The sequence below is a fragment of the Homo sapiens genome, chromosome 12 (genome assembly GCF_000001405.40).
Source record: "Homo sapiens chromosome 12, GRCh38.p14 Primary Assembly".
NCBI classification, from domain to species: Eukaryota; Metazoa; Chordata; class Mammalia; order Primates; family Hominidae; genus Homo; species Homo sapiens.
The window spans coordinates 98,464,279-98,484,836 of record NC_000012.12 but is presented as its reverse complement, the minus strand read 5'-3'; the positions used below and the strand labels follow the sequence as shown (position 1 = coordinate 98,484,836).

The following is a 20,558-nucleotide window of genomic DNA, read 5'->3' as shown; positions in this document are numbered from 1 at the left end:
GATAACCACTATCCTGATTTTTTGATAATTATTTCTTGCTTTGCTTTATAGTTTTACCACCTATATGTATCCTTAAATATTAGATTGTTTATTTTTTGTATTTGATGAGAACAAAAAATATCTTTGTTGTTGTTATTTTGAGAGTCTTGATCTGTTGCTCAGGCTGGAGTGTAGTGGCACAGTCACATCTCACTGCAGCCTTGACCTCCCAGGCTTCAGCAGTCCTCCCACCTCAGCTCCTCAATTAGCTGGGACTACAGGCATGCACCGTCATGCCCGGCTAATTTTTGTATTTTCTTTTTTGGTAGAGACAGGGTTGCGCCACGTTGCCCAGGCTAGTCTTGAACTCCTGGACTCAAGTGATCTGCCTGCCTCAGCCTCCCAAAGTGCTAGGATTACAGGTGTGAGCCATGGCTCCTGGCCTTATATTGCTTATTTTTGACAACTGAGTGGCAAGCCCAACCATTGCAGCAGGCTCTCAAAAGATAAGCTCTGGGTCACGTTCAGTGGCAGCGTTCCTGAGAGAATGCAAGAGCTCCTTTTGGGAAGTCTGCGGTCAGGGTCAAGAGTGAGTTCTGGGAAACACAGGATATATCACAGCTGGGACATCTGGCAGGGCTGCAGTTTGGGTCAGGTAATGGATATCTGCGGAAACATAGTCAAGAAGTGGGAGACTCTCTATCTGCAGCTCCCAAGCTCGCCATGGTTTCTTACCTACTTTCAAGAAGAAATCAAAGCAAACCCCTTCTATGGGGTAAGGTGAATTTCCTCAGTTCGTGAAGACAGCAGGTCATGGTGGGTGTGTTAGTCTTCTATTGCCACATAATAAATTATCACCAATGCAGCAGCTTAAAACAACATACGTTTATTGTCTCATAGTTTTTACAGGTGAGGAGCCTGGCACATTTTAGCTGGTTCCTCTCCTCAAGGTCTCATTAGGCTGAAATCAAGACATTGGTTGGCTGCCTCCTCCTCTGGAGGCTCCCCTAGGGAAAGATTCATTTCCAAGGTAGCTCAAGTTGTTAGCAGAGTTCATTTCCTTGCAGGTGCAGCACTGGAGGCTCCTCCTCTCCTCTCCTCCCCTCCCCTCCCCTCCCCTTCCCCCTCCCTCCCTCCCTCCCTCCCTCTCTCTCTCTCTTTCTTTCTTTCTTTCTTTTTTAACAGAGTTTCTCTCTGTTGCCCAGGCTGGAGTGCAATGGCACAGTCTGGGCTCACAGCAACCTCCACCTCCTGGGTTCAAGCGATTCTCCTGCCTTAGCCTCCCAAGTACTTGGGATTACAGGCATCTGCCAACATGCCTGGCTAATTTTTGTATTTTCAGTAGAGACGGGGTTTCACCATGTTGGCCAGGCTGGTCTTGAACTCCTGACCTCAAGTGATCTGCCCGCTTGGCCTCCCAAAGTATTGGGATTACAGGCGTGAGCCACTGTGCCTGGCCTTCACTTTCTTTCTGGCTGTCAGTGGGGACTGCTGCCAGCTCGTAGAGGCTGCTCTCAGGTGGCCCCCTCCACTCAGCATTGGAGACTCTTCCTTATGATGAGTCTCCCTTATGTTGAGTCTCCCTTGTGCTTAGAATCTCTCTGGCTTTCTCTTCTGCTACCAGCCAGAGAAAATGCTCTTAAAATGCCTTTAAAGGGCTCATGTGATTAAGTCAGGTTTACCAGGATAATCCTTTGTCTTAAAGTCAACTGATTAGTCGCCTTAATTACATCTACAAAACTTTGTGTCATGCAAGGTGACATAAACCTACTCATAACTAGGGGGTGGAGATTATGGAGGTCATTTTAGAATTCTGCTTGTCATGGTGAGGAGAGCAGAAACTCCATTGGTACATAGTCAAGATGTGCCAAGCACAGACAAAATCTAGGTCAGATTCACCAGGCCTCAAAAAGATGGTCCAATGGCAAAGGGTATCTTCGAGATGGCTCCTGTGATGTCTGCATCTTGTGTCACATTGCTCCCATCTGGATTGACTGTCCTCTGCATCTGACACATAGCTGTCATTCAAGGACCTCTTTTTATCATCCTCCTGAGGACCCTTTTTATTTCTCTCGTGTTGGATTGCTTCTTTCTTGCATCTCATTTCTTCCTCTTTACTCTTAATTCACACTCTCTCTTGCTTTCGTCTTATTCTGGTGGAGTCAATCTTCTTGAAATTTCTTGAGAATGGGTACACGGAAGTTAACTTTTTCAGACCTTTTATGTCTAAAAAACTTTTTTTTTTCTTTTTCTGTTTTTTTTTTTTTTTGAGACGGAGTCTCACTCTGCCACCTGGCTGGAATGCAGTGGTGCGATCTTGGCTCACTGCAACCTCCACCTCCTGGGTTCAAGTGATTCTCCTGCCTCAGCCTCCCAAGTAATTGGGATTACAGTCACCCACCACCACGCCTGGCTAATTTTTTTTGTATTTTTAGTAGAGACTGGGTTTCGCCATGTTGGCCAGGCTGGTTTTGAACTCCTGACCTCAGGCAATCTGCCCACCTTGGCCTCCCAAAGTGCTGGGATTACAGGTGTGGGCCACTGTGCCCAGCCAAAAAAAACCTTTATATTTTTATTTTTAGAGATAGGGTCTTGCTCTGTCACCCAGGATGGGATGCAGTGATGTGATCATAGTTTATGGTAACCTTGAGCTCCTAGGCTCAAGGGATCCTCCTGCCGCAGCCTCCCAAGCAGCTAGGATGACAGGTGTGAGCCACCATGCCTGGATTCAATTTTATGTTTATACTTGATTGATAGCTTAGCTGAGAATATAATTCTAGTTGGAAGTTATTAGCCCTCAAAATTTTGAAGGCATCATTTCACTTTCATTGTGCTGGATTGTCTGTTGTCCAGCTATACCTCTCCATTATCCCTTCTAGAGTCCGCTCTGCATTAAAGAAGAGAAACCTGTAGTTACATGTGACAGAATCCCCTCCTTCATTTGATTCCAAGTTGGAGTTTGCCAATGAGAGGCACTTGTGTGAGAAGGAAAGCAGAAAAGAAAAACCATTATTCAACAGAGGCAGTTGAAGGCAGACACATGGGCTGAAGGCAAAATCTTGAGAGTTTCCTGTTTTGGTGCTGTCAGCAGCTGGGATTGAAGGCAGTGTCTTGCCTTAGATTGCTGAGATTTTTCCATGGCTTGCAGGTGAAGTTATGTGAATCACTGACTTCTACTGGCTGCTCTCCTGACCATCACATCCTCAACACTTAGTTTTATTTTATTTTATTTTTTTTTGAGATAGAGTCTCACTCTGTTGCCCAGGCTGGAGTGCAGTGGTGCGATCTCGGCTCTCTGCAACCTCCGCCTCCCGGGTTCAAGTGATTCTTCCACCTCAGCCCCCTCAGTAGCTGGGCTTATAGGTGCATGCCACCACGCCTGGCTAATTTTTGTATTTTTAGTAGAGACGCGGTTTCACCATGGTGGCCAGGCTGGTCTCAAACTTCTGACCTCGTGATCTGCCCGCCTCGGCCTCCCAAAGTGCTGGGATTACAGCTGTGAGCCACTGCGCCTGGCATTATATTTTTATTTTTTATTTTTATTTTTTAATTCTTCATGGTTACAAAATGCCTGCTGCAACTGCAAACATCACATCCGTGCATGATGTCTAAATTAGGAAAAAGAGAGTACAGACGCTCTTCTTCATGCATTCGTCTTATTTTATGAGGACCATAAATTGTTTTAAAGTTAGACCAGAGTGATTGGGCAAATTTATATACCTACCTGATGCCTACCCTAAATCACAGCAAAAGGAAAGGGAAACCATCAGGATTAATTAGCTGGGGCTGGGGGAAGAGCATATTTCTGCCTATGCCTGCACAAGTTGAAGCTCTTTGAGCAAGAAATAATGGGAAATGGCTGTCAAGAAGGCAACCAACTCTGTCTGCCATGTTCCTCATGTAAGGATACCGCATGTAACATGGCAGACTGTTGATCAGTGGACAACCAGTAGGAAAAATAAGATTTTAAAAAGTGTTCTAAATGCCTCACAATTATGTAATGTCATTTAATCCATCAGTAGGAGAGATGACGAGGATGACATTTTATGAGAATGAAATATCTGACAGGAATTAGCAAAAGTTTCAGAGTTTGGCCTTAGGAATAAAGTGAAGACAAAAGAATAAGAATTTGATTAAATTCACAGTTAGAACCAGATATATTACATTAATATTAATAGCAAAGGAAGCAAAGAAAGAAAATATATCCAAAGGGTAAAATGTATATTTGAAGTGTTTTGGGATTTCTACTCATGAAAGAAATGCTTCTCAGTTGGGGGAAAAGTCAGCAGACCTCTCTATGTAGCTGACGAGTTTAGCTAGTCCTGCTACTTTTGATGAATTATTAGAAGACTCACCCACTTAGAAAAAGTGTGTGCATTTAAAACAAATCATTAATAATGAAATTGATTGTAGCTTGTGAAAAACAGAACAAACAGATCTCTGTACTTCTGCTTGAAATATTAGTTCCTGAGTTTTGAAGAGATTGTGCCAGTCAGGTTATTAGTCCCATGTAACAAAACTTTGGCTAGTTAAAGCAGAAATAGGCCGGGTGCAGTGACTCACGCCTGTAATCCCAGCACTTTGAGAGGCTGAGGTGGGCGGATCAGGAGGTCAGGAGATCAAGGCCATCCTGGCTAACACGGTGAAATCCCATCTCTACTAAAAATACAAAAAATTAGCCAGGCGTGGTGGTGCGTGCCTGTAGTCCCAGCTACTCGGGAGGCTGAGGCAGGAGAGTTGCTTGAACCCAGGAGGAGGAGCTTGCAGTGAGCCGAGATCGCGCCACTGGACTCCAGCCTGGGTGACAGAGTGAGACTCCACATCAAAAAAAAAAAAAAAAAAAAAAGAGAGAAATACAATTTATTGAGGTCTAACTTAAAGCTCACAGAAACTCTGGGAGGGCCAGAATTAGGCTTGGCAGCTTGACAGTCAGAAACAAATGACTTGGTGGATACAGCAAAGATTTCATTACAGTGTCTGTCACTGAAGACCCTGTTAGAACACCCTCCCCTCCACTGCTGTCTGCTGTGAAGACCTTCATGGGAATGGCACCTCCACTGGAGCGCTCCCTGGAAGCATGGGTTCTGTGCACTGCCTGTTTTCTCATACTGTTCTTCTGCAAATTGAATCTTCATATGGGTGTATCTGGGTAGTAAGGCTTGTGCCACAAGTCAGCATGCCAGCTGCAAGAAGGGCTGAGAAGTCCAGTTTCTGATTTCCACCTTTGATGGTGAGACTTATAATGTGGAGAATTCCCCAGACATGGGAATTCTGAGCAAAAGATGCTGATATGATTTGGCTCTATGCCCTCACCCAAATCTCATCTTGAATTGTAATTCCCAATGTTGGGGGAGGGACCTGTTGGGAGCTGATTGGATCATGGGGGCAGTTTCCCCCCTTGCTATTCTCATCATAGTGGGTGAGTTCTCACAAGATTTGATGGTTTAAAAGTGTGTAGCACTTCCCCCTTTTCTCTCTCTCTCTCCTCTGCCATAGTAAGATGTGCTTCCTTCCCCTTCACCTGCCGTGATTGTAAGTTTCCTGAGGTCTAGTCATGCTTCCATACAGCCTGTGGAACTATGAGTCAATTAAACCTCTTTCTTCATAAATTACCCAGTCTCAGTTCTTTTTTTTTTTTGAGATAGGGTCTCACTCTGTCGCCCAGGCTGGAGTGCAGTGATGAGATCTTGGCACACTACAGCCTCTACCTCCAGGGCTCACGCGATCATCTTGCCTCAGCCTCCTGAGTAATTGGGACTACAGGCATGCATCATCATGCCCTGCTAATTTTTGTATTTTTTGTAGAGATGGGGTTGCGCTATGTTGCCCAGGCTGGTCTTGAACTCCTGGGCTCAAGCGATCCTCCCACCTTGGCCTCCCAAAGTGCGTGTGGGTAGTGGGTGATCAGGTAGTTCTTTATAGCAATGTGAGAATGGAACAGACTAATACAGCATCTGTGAATAGAACACATGTCAAATTGAGTAACAAACAGGCTTAAGAGCATGGAGTCAGGTATACCTTAGTTCAAGTCCAGCCCCATAGCTTCCCACCTGAGTCATTCTGGGTAACTTCTCTACCTTCGTAAGCCTGTTTCATCATTTGTAAAATATGTATGATAATAGTGGCTACATCACAGGGGTGCTGTTAAGATTAAATGAGATAGGCCAGGCACGGTGGCTCACATCTGTAATCTCAGCACTTTGGGAGATCAAGGCAGGTGGATCCGTTGAGTCCAGGAGTTTAAGACCAGTCTGAGCAACATGGTGTGACCATGTATCTACAAAAAATAAAAAAATTAGCTGGGTGTGGTGGCATGCACCTGTAGTCCCAGTTACTTGGGAGGCTGAGGCAGGAGGATCACTTGAGGCCATGAGTTCGAAGCTTCAGTGAGGAATGGTTGTGCCACCGCACTCTAGCCTGGGTGATAGAGACCCCGTGTAAAAAAAAAAAAATTAAATGAGATAAAGCATAAAGCACTTAACCTAGTGCTTGGCGTATGGTGAATAAGTCACTGATTACAAACTTATATTACTATTATTATTGATCTTCTTATTGGTATTGTTACTGGTGTTTATGTAGGACAATCAAAGCTGATGATATAAAATGTAACCATTATAGTACATTAGGTAGTTTTTGTCCCAGAAATTACAGTTTGGGAATTAAATTCAGAGCTCCCTTTTCTGGTTTAAAAAAGCCAAGAAGGATTAGTACTAATATTCTGATAATTTATAAATGCCTCTCTCATACTCACCATCTTCCTACATCTTCCTCCTGCTTTATCTGTTTTCCATTACAATCACAGAATGCCAGTTTTAGGTCAACATATGTTCTTGGCTGCATGCAGTGTCTCATGCCTGTAATCCTAGCACTTTGGGATGCCGAAACAGGAGGATCTCTTGAGCTCAGGAGTTCGAGTCTGCAGTGAGCTATGATTGCACCGTTGCACTCCAGCCTGGGCAACAGAGTGAGACCCTGTCTCTAAGAAAAAAAGAAAAAGAAATCACAATGTAGTCACTTTTATCACCATCTATTGGTATAAGGGAGTCACTAAAACCAAACCAAATTTGAGGGTAGGTGAATTAGACTCCACTTCTTGAGAGGAGAGTGACAAGGTCACATTGCCGAAGAATGTATGGGATAGAAGATATTGTTGAGGCTTCTTTGGAAAATGCAATCTCCCATAACCTGATGGGGTGAGGGTGATTGAGCCTATTTCAGCCTGGCATTGAAAGCTTGGTATGTTATTACATGAGAAAGGCAGGTTATAGAACAGCACGTATGGTATGATTCCATTTTTGCTTACAAATATGCAAAGTCATATGTGTATGTGTGTGCATGCTTGTGTGTGTGCACGTGGGTAGTGGGTATGATGTGTCAAGGACAAAAAATGGGTGTGTTAGTCCATTTTCACACTGCTATAAAGAACTACCTGAGCCTGGGTAATTTAAAAAGGAAAGAGGTTTAGTTGACTCACAGTTCTGCATGGCTAGGGAGGCCTCAGGAAACTTACATTCATGGTGGAAGGCAAAGGGGAAGTAAGGCACGTCTTACATAGCAGCAGGAGAGAGAGAGAGCAAGTGGGAAACTGCCAAACACTTTTAAAACCATCAGATCTCGTGAGAACTCACTCACTATCATGAGAACAGCACGGGGGAAACCAATCCCATGATCCAATCACCTCCCACCAGGTCCCTCCCCTGACATGTGGGGATTACAATTTGACATGAGATTTGGGTGGGAACACAGAGCCAAACCATATCAGTGTGCTAGAAATGTAACTTAATTATTTTCTAAAACTCAATTTGTGATTTATTTTCCTTTCTTTCCTTTCTCTCTTTCTCTTTCTTTCTTTTTTTTTTGAGACAAAGTCTCGCTCTGTCACCCAGGCTGGAGTGCAATGGCATGATCTCGGCTCACTGCAACCTCTGCCTCCTGGTTCAAGCAATTCTCCTGCATCAGCCTCCTGAGTAGCTGGGATTACAGGTGCGCACCACCACGCTTGGCTAATTTTTGTATTTTTAGTAGAGACAGGGTTTCATCGTGTTGGCCAGATTGGTGTCGAACTCTTGACTTCAAGTGATCCACCCGCCTTGGCCTCCCAAAGTGCTGGGATTACAGGTGTGAGCCACTGCACCCGGCCTCAATTTGTGATTTCTTTCCCCATATTTCTACGTCCAGAGTCCATCTCCTGCCCATTCATTCTGATACAGAAAATGACACTTAGTTGCTTCCAGATAATCACAATTGACTTAAGTGGTTTCTTAGTCACTGAAAGTCCTAACACTTTAGAATAGTTTCTTCTCTGGGGTGGGGAAGTGGGGGGAGCTGGTGAGGGGTAAGGCAACCATAGTCTTAGAAACCAAAGCAGTTAATTTTTTTTTTTTTTTGAGATGGAATTTCGCTGTTGTCACCCAGGCTGGAGTGCAATGGTGTAATCTTGGCTCACTGCAACCTCTGCCTCCCAGGTTCAAGCGACTCTCCTGCCTCAATCTCCTGAGTAGCTGGAATTACAGGCACAAACCACCATGCCTGGCTAATTTTTGTATTTTTAGTAGAGACGAGGTTTCGCCATGTTGGCCAGTCCGGTCTCAAACTCCTGACCTCAGGTGATCTGCCTGCCTCAGCCTCCCAAAGTGCTGGGATTACAGGCGTAAGCCACTGTACGTGGCCTAGTTAACATTTTATATATCAGCTTGCTACATATGCCTAGGAATGCTACAAATGTACATTCTGGATTATAAGAAAATATGGGACTGTCCCCCATTTCTTTTTGTCTGTATTTCTAACTTTTATACTATAAGGACATATATTATTTATATATATGTATATATTATGTTATATACTATTTATATGCTGTTTACTTATAGGATTAATTTTTCAATCCACATAATCAGGATTGATCAATATTTTTTAATATCAAATAATCCCAGGATATAAATCTAATTGCTATAATACAATAGCATTCAATTAATCATTAGTGTATTATTGCCAATGGGAAATTTAAGAAGCATATTTAAAAGAGTAGAGTTATAACTCAGTTGAACCTCTGATTAATTTTATCAGAAGAGATGAAGTCATTGGAGGAAGAGTAAATGCTGTTTAGGGCCAGCTCCTAGTTTAGGTTAGCTTAGATTGGTAGGTTTTAACTCACTTAGTGGGTCATTCCTAGGACAGAAGAATCTTAGGCTCTTGGCCTGGAGCTGTTGGTTTGCTCTAGGGTAAAAATTTGGATCCTAGTCAGATTACAAATTTAGTTAAGTCTCATATAGTCCCTGAGGGAGGGGAGATGGGGGTGCTGTTTTTCTTCGCAGTTTCTGCAGTTGCTTCAGCCTGGAGCGTGCTGTTGCTGCCAGGAAGACAGGCCTGTCTAGTGTAATCTACGAGAGAGAATGCTTGGCATTCCTGGACAATGAAGCACAGAGAGAAAATGAAGATTCCCTGAGAGGTGCCAATCTCCTTGAAAATAAATCAGATTTCAGCCTGGGCAATGTGGTTAAACCCCGTCTCTACAAAAACTACAAATATTAGCTGGGCTTGGTGGCATGTGCCTGGAGTCCCAGCGACTTGGGAGGCTGACGTGTGAGGATCACTTGAGCCTGGGAGGCAGAGGCTGCAGTCAGCCAAGAGTGCACCACTGCACTTCAGCCTGGGTGACAGAGCCAGACTCTGGCTCAAAAAAAAAAAAAAAAAAAAGAACAAGAAAAATAAATCAGAAAATCAGATTATTAGGAGAGCCCTGGGAGAGGAGGATGTGCAATTGTGTGTGTGTGTGTGTGTGTGTGTGTGTGTGTGTGTGTGTGTGTGTGTGTGTGTGTGTGTGTCTGTGGTTTTAAAACAAATTGAAAAACTTGATGGGAAATCATAGGAAAGCTTATATAAAGGGAGGATCAGAGGAAACTTACAAGCTGCTGAAATCTGTATAATATCAGGATTTAAGCCACGGAGATAATCTAGGAATGAACTTTTTAGATAGAAAAAAAGGTGATGTGTTTTTCTTGAATAGACCTGTTGATTTGTTCATTCAGGTTTTTTTTTTGTTTTCTGTTTTTTTTTTCTAGAAACTCAAGACCTGCTCGTGTAAACAAAACCTTAATAACATTTTGATTTCTAAAGGTTTATGTTCATTGTTTCTAAAGTTTTAATAATGAGGAAGGTGAAAAAAATTTATTATTATAAATATCAATTGCAAGAAATCATATTAAAACAATGTCCTTAAAGTTTAAGATTTTTCCCACTTCAAATTCCTGGAAATGTAAAAACACAATCTTTCAGTTTTTCTTGTTGAAATAATAAAGTGTTCTGAATAAATCTACTGATTTTACATAGAGTTCTATGGCTTTGATACTATAAAATGAAATGGTTTGAGATTGAAATAATTCAATTATTTTAAATATTCCTGCAGTTCTTAAGTGTGTAGCCTTATTGGGAACCTAAAGTGGAATAAGACAATTGCCTAGTGTCTGTATTTATAGTGTAGGTCCCTGTTGGAAAATTTCATTGAGGTTTCTTTTTCTTTCCTTCTATTTTTTTTCTTTCCTTTTTTTTTTGTTTTTTTTTTTTTTTTTGAGACAGGGTCTCAATCTGTTGCCCAGGCTGGAGTATCCACCTGAAGCCTCCACTTCCCTGGCTCAAGCGATTCTCCTACCTCAGCCTCTCGGGTAGCTGGGATTATAGGCACTTACCACCATGCCTGGCTAATTTTTTAATTTTTCTGTAGAGATGTGTTTCACCATGTTGCTCAGGCTGGTCTTGAAGTCCTGGCTCAAGAAATCCACCCACCTCGGCCTCCCAAAATGCTGGGATTACAGGTGTGAGCCACCGCGCCTAGCCCCAACTCACAGTTTTTAATTGCTGTGAATACTCCATGGTGTGCATCATTAGGAGGAGAGCTTTTTAAGGAGGCAAGAGAATTTGACAAACGTGGTAGAGATGGTCAGTAAGAAGGGTTACACATTGGGAGATTTAGTAGTATGGAGGCCAGTGGCAATGTTTGGTGGAGCAGGTTCTTGGGGTCGTGGGGGTAGAAGCCAGACTGCACCGAGCAGAGGCCTGTTTGGGAGGAGAGCAAGTAAGACATTGACTACACTCAGCCTGCGAGGGAAGCTGGACCATCCAGGGAAGGAGCAAGGGGATGCAGAATCAAGGAAGAGCTTGGAATTTTTAAGCTTTTGTTATCCGAATAATCCATGTTCAATGTAGAAAAATTAGGAAATTCAGATGAGCAGAAAGAAAATAACAAAATGGAAAGTATATTCATTTCTTAGGGCTACCGTAACAAATTACCACAAACTGGTGCCTTGAAAACAACACAAATGTTTTTGTTTCTGTTCACATTGTTCTGGAGGCTATCTGAAATCAGAGTGTCAATATGGCTGTGCTCCCTCTGAAGGCCCTACGGGAGTACCCTTCCTTGCCTCTTCCTAGTTTCTGGTGGTTGCTGGCAATTGTTGGTGTTCCTTGGCTTGTAGCCACATCCCTCCAATCTCTGCCTCCATCATCACAGGGTGTTCTTCCTGTGTGTCTCTTCTGGGTCTCTGTTTTCTCTTATAAGGACACCAGTCATTAGATGAGGACTCATCCTAATCTAATAGGATCTCATCTTTTTTTTTTTTTTTTTGAGATGGAGTCTCTGTCACTCAGGCTGGCGTGCAGTGGCATGATCTCGGCTCACTGCAACCTCCGCCTCCTGGGTTCAAGTGATTCTCCTGCCTCAGCCTCCCAAGTAGCTGGGATTACAGGCATATGCTGCAACGCCTGGCTAATTTTTGTAATTTTAGTAGAGATGGGGGTTTCACCATGTTGGCCAGGCTGGTCTCAAACTCCTGACCTCTGGTGATCCGCCCACCCTGGCATCCCAAAGTGCTGGGATTACAGGTGTGAGCCACTGCGCCCCACCAAGACCTCATCTTAATTTAATTATATCAGCAAAGACCCTCTTTCCAAATGTGGTCACATTCTGAGGTTCCAGGTAGACATGAATTATTGGGGAACACTATTTGACCTAGCATTTCTTTTTGCTTTCTTTTTTTTTTTTGACACAGGTCTCGCTCTGTCACCCAGGCTGAGGAATGCAGTGGTGCCATCTTGGCTCACCATAATCTCACCTTTGAGGCTCAAGCTATCCTCTCACTTCAGTCTCCTGAGTAGCTGGGACCACTAGTGCGTACCACCATGCCAGGCTCATTTTTTTTTTACATTTTTGGTAGAGACAGGGCTTTGTCGTGTTGCCCAGGCTGGTCTTGAACTCATGGGCTTAAGCAATCTGCCCACCTTGGCCTCCTAAAGTGCTGGGATTATAGGCGTAAGCCACTGCGCCTGGCTAGTATATTCTTTTCCCCTCTCCCCTCCTCTCTTTCTCTCTCTCTCCCTCTCTGTCTCTCAAAGGATGAGGGGAAGCATGAGTGTGTTTATAGATTAAATGAAAGAGTTAGGAGAAAAGAAGAGGTTGGAGATAAATCTTAGATACTTGGTAGGTCAGAGTCTCAGCAGAGAATGGAGAGGTGGGTTGGAGAGCACTGGGGAAGGGGATGGGCCTGGGGCCTGCCTGGGTCACACAGCCTTGCCTGGTCACTGACTCCCAGCCTGATGCGGAATTACTCTCCTCAAGAGCACCCTGCCTAGGTACAGCCTTTCACGGGTCAGCCTTAGCAAAGGCTGTGATGGGAGGGAAGAGGAACATGCCCCAAATGGGATCAAATGCAGGGCTCTGGGAGAGAGCTGACTGGAAGGATGCTTGCATCCTACCCTTCACCTCCTCTCTGGGGTTTCAGGAAAACATAATGATCATAATGATGTTTTTATGTTTCCTGTGATGTTGGTCATCTTCCCCTCCGCAACCCCTGCCTCCCTTCAAGTTTTGCCTGCATCTTATAAACTGGAAAAACCCAAGAAACTCCTAAGTTCTATATAGTTCAGTAGTAGGTAGTGGCCTCTGCCAGTCGGAAAATCCCAGAAACATGGCCAGTTTAAAACCAACACTTGGCCGGGCGTGTGGCTCACGCCTGTAATCCCAGCACTTTGGGAGGCCGAGGTGGGAGGATCACAAGGTCAAGAGATAGAGACCATCCTGGCCAACATGGTGAAACCCCGTCTCTACTAAAACTACAAAAATTAGCTGGGCGTGGTGGTGTGTGCCTGTAGTTCCAGCTACTCAGGAGGCTGAAGCAGGAGAATCGCTAGAACCTGGGAGGTGGAGGTTGCAGTGAGCCGAGATCATGCCACTGCACTCCAGCCTGGGCAACAGAGCGAGACTGTCTCAAAAACAAAAAACAAACAAACAAAAAACCCAACACTGGAAATGGAAATGGACTTATCATTACGGCCCTAGTTCAGCACACACAAGATGTATAGGGAAACCAGTATGATAGGCCTGATGACCCTGGGCAGGTAGTCAAGGGTAAAGTTTCTTAGGTGATGAGAGGCCTGGTACTTCTAGTCTCTAACATGCATTCTTGAGCAGGGATGTGATGTACCCTACAGAGGACACACTGGCCACTGTAGCTGACAACACAGGGAGACCAAGGCCAGGGCAGATGTGCGCAGGACCTTGAAGGCAAGAGAGTTAAAAAAAAAAAAAATCCCTATCTAAGTGGGAGGAGCATCTCCCACTCAGTGCAGTGAGCTGCAGGCATTCATCAGGTGTTCAGTGAGTTCTGATTAGGGACCGTGCTGGCCTTGGAGCTATAATGAGGAACACGTTGTTCCTGCTCACACAGAAACTACAATATTTTGGGGTGTGTATTAGTTCAGTTTCTTTTGGCTTTAGGAAGCAGAAATGACCTTGCAAGCTTGTTGGAGGAATATTAGAGGTTCTTAGAGAATTCGCAGAAGACAGCTTGGGGCCCCTTACTAGCCAGAGGCTAATAACATCCTCTGAAGAGTGCTATTATTTGTGTGAAGGAGTTTCAGTGTCCAATCTTTGTATGACTCAGTCCCAAATTGCTACAGGGAGACTGTGGCCCAGCTCGAGTAAATCATCTGTGGTTCAGGGCTCAGGGTTATGAAGTACACACATGGTTGTCGCAATCCTACCTGTGTGTATTGAGTGCATCCCCACTTCCTTCCCTCTCAGTTGAGTGCCCCAGCGATGGGCAGAATGCATGAACCTGAAAGCCACTGTCTTCTGGACAGAGAGGTAGACAGGTAGACAAGCACCCAGCAATTACAGCTCAGTCATCAGTGCTGTGCTAGGGGAAGCATAGAGTTGTGTGAGAATACATCAGTCAAGACCCATTTGGAGGAAAGGTTTAGAAACCCAGCTTATTATTTTTTAGGGGTTGTTGCAAGTTTTGTTTTTCTTCCAACTTTTAAGTTCAGGGGTACATGTGCAGGATGTGCACGCTTGTTACATAGGTAAATGTCTGCCACGGTAGTTTGCTGCACAGATCAGCACATCACCTAGGTATTAAGCCCCAGCATCCATTAGCTATTCTTCCTGATGCTCTCCCTCCTCCCACCCCCACCCTCTAGAACCCCAACTTAAACCAACTTAGGCAAAAAGAAGGGGACTTACTGGAAGGCTCACACTGAGAAGGATGAGTGGCAGGTGGTATCAAGGTCATTGGAACAGGTGATTTGAGTGCTGCTAGGTCTTCTTTTCTCAGTCTCTCAATTCTGTTTCTCTCTCTGTGTTGTTAACTTCTTTCTCTTAGAAAAGCTTTCTTTACATAGCAAGAAATGTGGCCACTAGCAGTTCCTGAGTCTCACCATCTCCTGGCCTCACCAACAGAGAATAAATAAATCTTTGTTCAGCTTCAGTTACAAAAATCCTAGGGAATGACAAAGATTGATTGGCTTTAGATAGGAGTCCATCCAGCCGGGCGCGGTGGCTCATGCCTGTAATCCCAGCACTTTGGGAGGCCGAGGTGTGTGGATCACCTGAGGTCAAGAGTTCTAGACCAGCCTGGCCAACATGGTAAAACCCTGTCTCTACTAAAAATACAAAAATTAACTGAGCATGGTGGCAGGCGCCTGTAATCCCAGCTACTCAGGGTGCTGAGGCAGGAGAATTGCTTGAACCCAGGAGGCAGAGGTTGCAGTGAGCCGAAATCATGCCATTGCACTCCAGCCTAGGGGACAAGAGCAAGACTTCGTCTCAAAAAAAAAATAAAAAAAAATAAAATATATGAGTCCATCCCTACATCAATGAAGTGTACCTAGAGAAGTAGAATAGTGTAAAACCATATGCCATACTAAAGCTGTATGATGATTTAATGACAAACCAAAATGATTGACATCAAGTACTTTAGGTTAATAGTCCTGTACTAGTTATCTGTTGCTGCATAATTAATTACCTCCAAACTTAGTGGCTTAAAACAACAATAAATATTTGTGATTTCACATAGTCTCTGTGGTTTGAAATTTAGGACTGACTTAGCTGGGTGGGTCTGTCTCAGGGTCTTTCATGAGATTGCAGTCAAGGTGTTGACTGGGTCTGCAGTCATCTGAAGGCTTGACCAGGGCTGGTGGATGCAGTTCTAAGATGGCACACAAGAGTGAGCTCACTCAGTTCCTCCCTATGTGGGTCTTTCCACAGGCAGCTTGAGTGTCCTCATGACACGGTGGCTGCCTTCTCTCAGGGTGAACAAGCCAAGAGAGTGCAAGGTGAAAGCCACAACATCTTTAATGGCCTAGCCTTAAAAATCACACTGTCTCATTTCTGCAATATTCTTTTCATTACACAGGTCAGCCCTCTTAAATGCGGGAGGGGTCACACAAGGATATGAATCCTAGGCTGTGAGAATCACTGGGGGTCATCTTGGAGGCTGGCTACCACATTCCCCAAAACTCATTCTGTAGAATTGGGATGTTAAAAGTTTTTATATGAAGAAGGGCTTTGCAGTCAGTCAGTATTAGAAAGGATACGTTAAAGCAAGTTAAATAGATTTCTTTCTCTCAGTCATTCTATACAGTTTTTAGTACTCTGACTCTCACTTTGAATCTTTCTCTCTCTTTCTCTTTCTTTTCTTTCTTTCTTTCTTTCTTTCTTTCTTTCTTTCTTTCTTTCTCTCTCTCTCTCTCTCTCTCTCTCTTTCTTTCTTTCTTTCTTTCTTTCTTTCTTTTTTTTTTTGACAGAGTCTCACTTTGTCACCCAGGCTGGAGTGCAGTGGCATGATTTCGGCTCACTGCAACCTCCTCCTCCCAGGTTCAAGGGATACTTCCTGCCTCAGCCACCCGAGTAGCTGGAATTACAGGTGTATGCCGCCACACCTGGCTAATTTTTGTATTTTTAGTAGAGATGGAATTTCATGGGGTTTCACCATGTTGGCCAGGCTGGTCTCGAACTCCTGACCTCAAGCTATCTGCCTGCCTCGGCCTCCCAAAGTGCTGGGATGACAGGTGTGAGCTACCGCACCCGGCCTCACTTTGAATTTCTGAAAGAGGGACAGAATAAATAACCGTAGCACAGCTTCCTTCTTTTTTTCTTTTTTCTTTTTTCTTTTTAGAGCTGGAGTCCAGCTGGAGTGCAGTGGCATGATCTTGGCTCACTGCAACCTCTGCCTCCCAGGTTCAAATAACTCTCATGCCTCAGCCTCCCAAGTAGCTGGGACTACAGGTGTGCACCACTACGTCTTGCTGATTTTTGTATTTTTAGTAGAGACGGGGGTTTCACCATTTTGGCCAGGTTGGTCTTAAACTCCTGGCCTTAAGCAATCCACCTGCCTCGGCCTCCCAAAGTGCTGAGATTACAGGTGTGAGCCACTGCGCCCAGCCAGCACAGCTTCTTTCTCATTCTCCAGCTTTTCCCCCAGTGGGCCTTTCTCCGCTCCACCATCTCTCTTTCCTTCCCTCTACAAGCATATCAGACTGCTGTCTGTCTCCTGTTAAAAATATAAGCTTCTGGCCAGGTGTGTTGTCTCACACCTATAATGCCAGCACTTTAGAAGGCGGAGGTGGGAGGATTACTTGAGTCCAGGAGTTTTAGACCAGCCTGGGCCACATAGTGAGACCCCTGTTTCTACAAACAAAATAAAAAAATTAGCTGGGCATGGTGGTGGATACTCGTAGTGCCAGCTTCTCAGGAGACTGAGGTGGGAGGATCACTTGTGCCTAGAAGGTTGAAGCTGCAGTGAGTCATGATCATGCCGCCTCTCTCCAGCCTGAGTGACAGAATGAGACCCTGTTTAAAAAAAAAAAACAAAACAATGCCAGGCGCGGTGGCTCACGCCTGTAATCCCAGCACTTTGGGAGGCCAAGGTGGATGGATCACCTAAGGTCAGGAGTTCGAGACCACCCTGACCAACATGGAGAAACCCCGTCTCTACTAAAAATACAAAATTAGCTGGGTGTGGTGGCACATGCCTGTAATCCCAGCTACTCGGGAGGCTGAGTCAGGAGAATCACTTGAACCCGGGAAGCGGAGGTTGCAGTGAGCTGAGATTGCACCATTGCAGTCCAGCCTGGGCAACAAGAATGAAACTCCATCTCCAAAAAACAAAACAAAACAAAGAAAAAGAAAAATAAGCTTCTGATAAAGCAATACAGTTTCATCTGGAGTTGGTCATTCTTGACCCTCCAAAGCCTTCTTGTCCATTTGGTCAGTGCACATCATGAAAACCTAGGAGTGATTAAAAAGGAAAGGAACACATTGTCACATGAAGGTGGGTAGTCAGTCTGAGGAAGTTCTGCAAGAGAAATTTTACAAAGCTCTCTATATTGGCCATGGTGTTGGGTGATATTGAGTCATAAAGTAACGAATACTATTTGAAGGCCAATAATCATTCACACATGAAAGTTTGGGCTGCCTCTTTAAGATATGTTTGTGTGGGGGAAACAAGGTACAGGTTAGTAACATCTTGTACTTTGGTTTTTGCCAACAAATACGAGACCTTCCAGTTTTAGGACTTACCCCGTCTCCTCTCATCAGTGTGACTGTTGTTATTTCTTTTGTGTAGGCTATTTGTCATGACAACAACTCAGTTTATTTAAAGTGTTTTATCATATTTCTGTGAGCTGGTTATACCATCTTGAATTATTTAATTCAGAGTAAACACTGAGGTGGTGTGTATGTGAAAGAGTCTACACCATATGTGTTTATGGAAATGTGCTTATTGAGATGTCGTTTCCAAGCACGGCATCTGCTCTTGTGCATCTTTTATATTATTTTGCATGGAGCCTATACAATGATTGATCTCCACCATCTGATAGTTTTCCTTTTAAGACAGTTTCCCTTCTTATGTTCTTGATAAATGATAATGTTTAATATTTGGGAAGAAAAAAAGCATCTAAATTAAAAATAAGAATGATCAATAAAAATGTCTTCTGAGTTCTTTAATTTCCATTATGCAGTGCATGATTTTTAGAAAGAGCTGAAATCTGTGCATTTAGAAGAGTAAGGTTTTCTGAATATTATCTCAAATGGAAAAGCCCAAGTTTACTCAACCTGTGATTCACACAGAGGTCTAGGTCTCATAAAGACTGCTGAAAATCAAATCCTCCTCTTCACCCTTTTTCCATGGACTGAACATTTGGGCTTTGGGTTCCTATAAATATACTCTGAGTTCCTGTTTACAGTGTTCCTAGGCATCCTGCCTTGCTGCACAAGATGGAGTTTTACAATGTCCAGTGTTACCTAATGGCTTCTTTAAATTGCAAATTCACCTTACCATCCTTGGTTGTCTCTATGGAGAGAAAACTTAATAAATCCCCAAATACAACCCCACAGAGACCTGTACATGCACATGTACTGAACTCAGAAAACAATGAGTCATGCAATCAACTAGTGTTCATCTATCTTCTTAAAATAGCACTTGAAGTAATTTATTATTAATAACATTTTCTGCTGGGCACAATGGCTCACACCTGTAATCCCAACACTTTGGGAGGCTGAGGCAGGAGAATTGCTTGAACCTGGGAGGTAGTGGTTGCAGTGAGCCAAGACTGCGCCACTGCACTCCAGCCTGCGTGACAGAGTGAAACTCTCAAAAAACAAAACAAAACAACATTTCCTGAGTTTTCAAAATCAGAGAATTGAGCCTATCTAGGGGATCAACTTCTTGATTTACCAAAAATATATTGGTTCAAATGCAGTAAAGAAACTGCAACCATCTTAACTGTAAAATCTGCTGCTTTTAAAACTGGAGAGGGACTCAAGCACCTTGAAATGTCATGTTCACTAACATCTCTCTAGTGTGGTTTGCAAACCACTGGCAAGATGCAAGATGATTTTAGGTGGTACATGGATAAGCTTTCAAATGATTTAATCATCATTTACTTATACTGGGTTGAATAATCTCCCTCTCAAAATTTATGTCTAACCCGAACCTCAGAATGTGACCTTATTTGGAAATAGGGCCTTTGCAGATGTAATTAAATAAGGATCTTGATCTCTGGTATCTTTATAAAAGAAATAAGAGGGATATTTGGACACAAAGACACACAGGGAGAAAAAGGTCATGTGACTATGGAGATAGAGATTGGAATGATGCCTATAAGCCGAGAACACCAAGAAGCCAGGAAAAAGGCATCAGACAATTTTTCCCTGAGAACCTCCAGAAAATCAACACCTTGATTTTGGACTTCTGGCCCCCTGAACTGTAAGAGAATACATTTCTGTTGTTTTAAGCCACTTGGTTTGTAATGATTTGTTATGGTAGCCCTAGGAATCTAATGCATTTATTTATTTATTTTTGAGACATGGTCTCACTCTGTCTCCCAGGCTGGAGTGCAATGGCAAGATCACGGCTCACTGTAGTTTCAACCTCCCAGGCTCAAGAAATCCTCCCACCTCAGTCTCTTAAGTAGCTGGGACTACAGGCATGAACCACCATGCCCAGCTAATTAAAACAATTTTTTTTTTTTTTTTTTTTGTAGAGACGGGGTCTCTCTATGTTGCCCAGACTGGTCTCAAACTGTTGGGCTCAAGCAATCCTCCTGCCTTAAGCGATCCTCCTGCCTTGGTATCCCAAATTGCTGGGATTACAGGCGTGAGCTATTGTGCCTGGCCATTTAAAAATATATTACACAAAATAAACATGATGGTGTTATAAAACCTGTGATTTCTGAGTTGCTAGTGTTTAGACTAATAGTCCCTAAATTTATTTAGGCAGCAAAAAGTGCATTGATTAAAAAAATTAAGTAAGTAATTTCATAGGAGGTAGGGAGATATTGCAAAAATGCTGTGGGTGGTTCATGGCTGGATAAGCAGTTTGGGAAAACATTGCTGTTTGCAGCCTGTGGCTCCTTCAACCTGTAGTGGCATGGTGGGAGATCTAGGTCAACAGCGATCTGCATTCCTAATAACTCTGTGACTTTGGATAAAATATGAATAATAGCCTTGAGAAGCCCCATCTTCCTCAGCAGTAAAATGGGAACAGTAATAAATATCTCACAGGACTTATGTGGGGATTGAGTTCCTTTTCCTTCAGCCTTGAAATATCAAAAGCTTAGTTATCTGAACCAGCTCTGCTGAGTGTGGGGGTGGGGGTGGGCTCCTGGCAGCTGGGTTGATGTACAAAAGAACATTTTGTAATCATTGGCCTCAAATGTGGGTTGCCAGTGATAAATATATAGGGCTGAGCAATATGGGAAGTGAATTGCGATAAAGTGGTAGGAACTGATGCAAAGAACCTCTGATGAAT

At 43.6% G+C, this 20,558-nt stretch overlaps 1 long non-coding RNA gene across 1 annotated transcript, besides 1 other annotated feature; it reads left to right on the top strand.

The window, feature by feature from the left end:
* The first annotated feature begins 7,841 nt into the window (after positions 1 to 7,841).
* LOC124902994 (uncharacterized) lies at positions 7,842 to 10,287 on the top strand. The gene is made up of 2 exons (XR_007063420.1): positions 7,842 to 7,962; positions 10,038 to 10,287. It is a non-coding gene; the product is annotated as an uncharacterized LOC124902994 (long non-coding RNA).
* Positions 15,365 to 15,734: an enhancer, noted in NCBI's record as "active region_6840". NCBI's record gives its function as "activates an Ori minimal core promoter by ATAC-STARR-seq in GM12878 lymphoblastoid cells {active_cell/tissue: GM12878}" and the evidence as "EXISTENCE:reporter gene assay evidence [ECO:0000049][PMID:35858748]".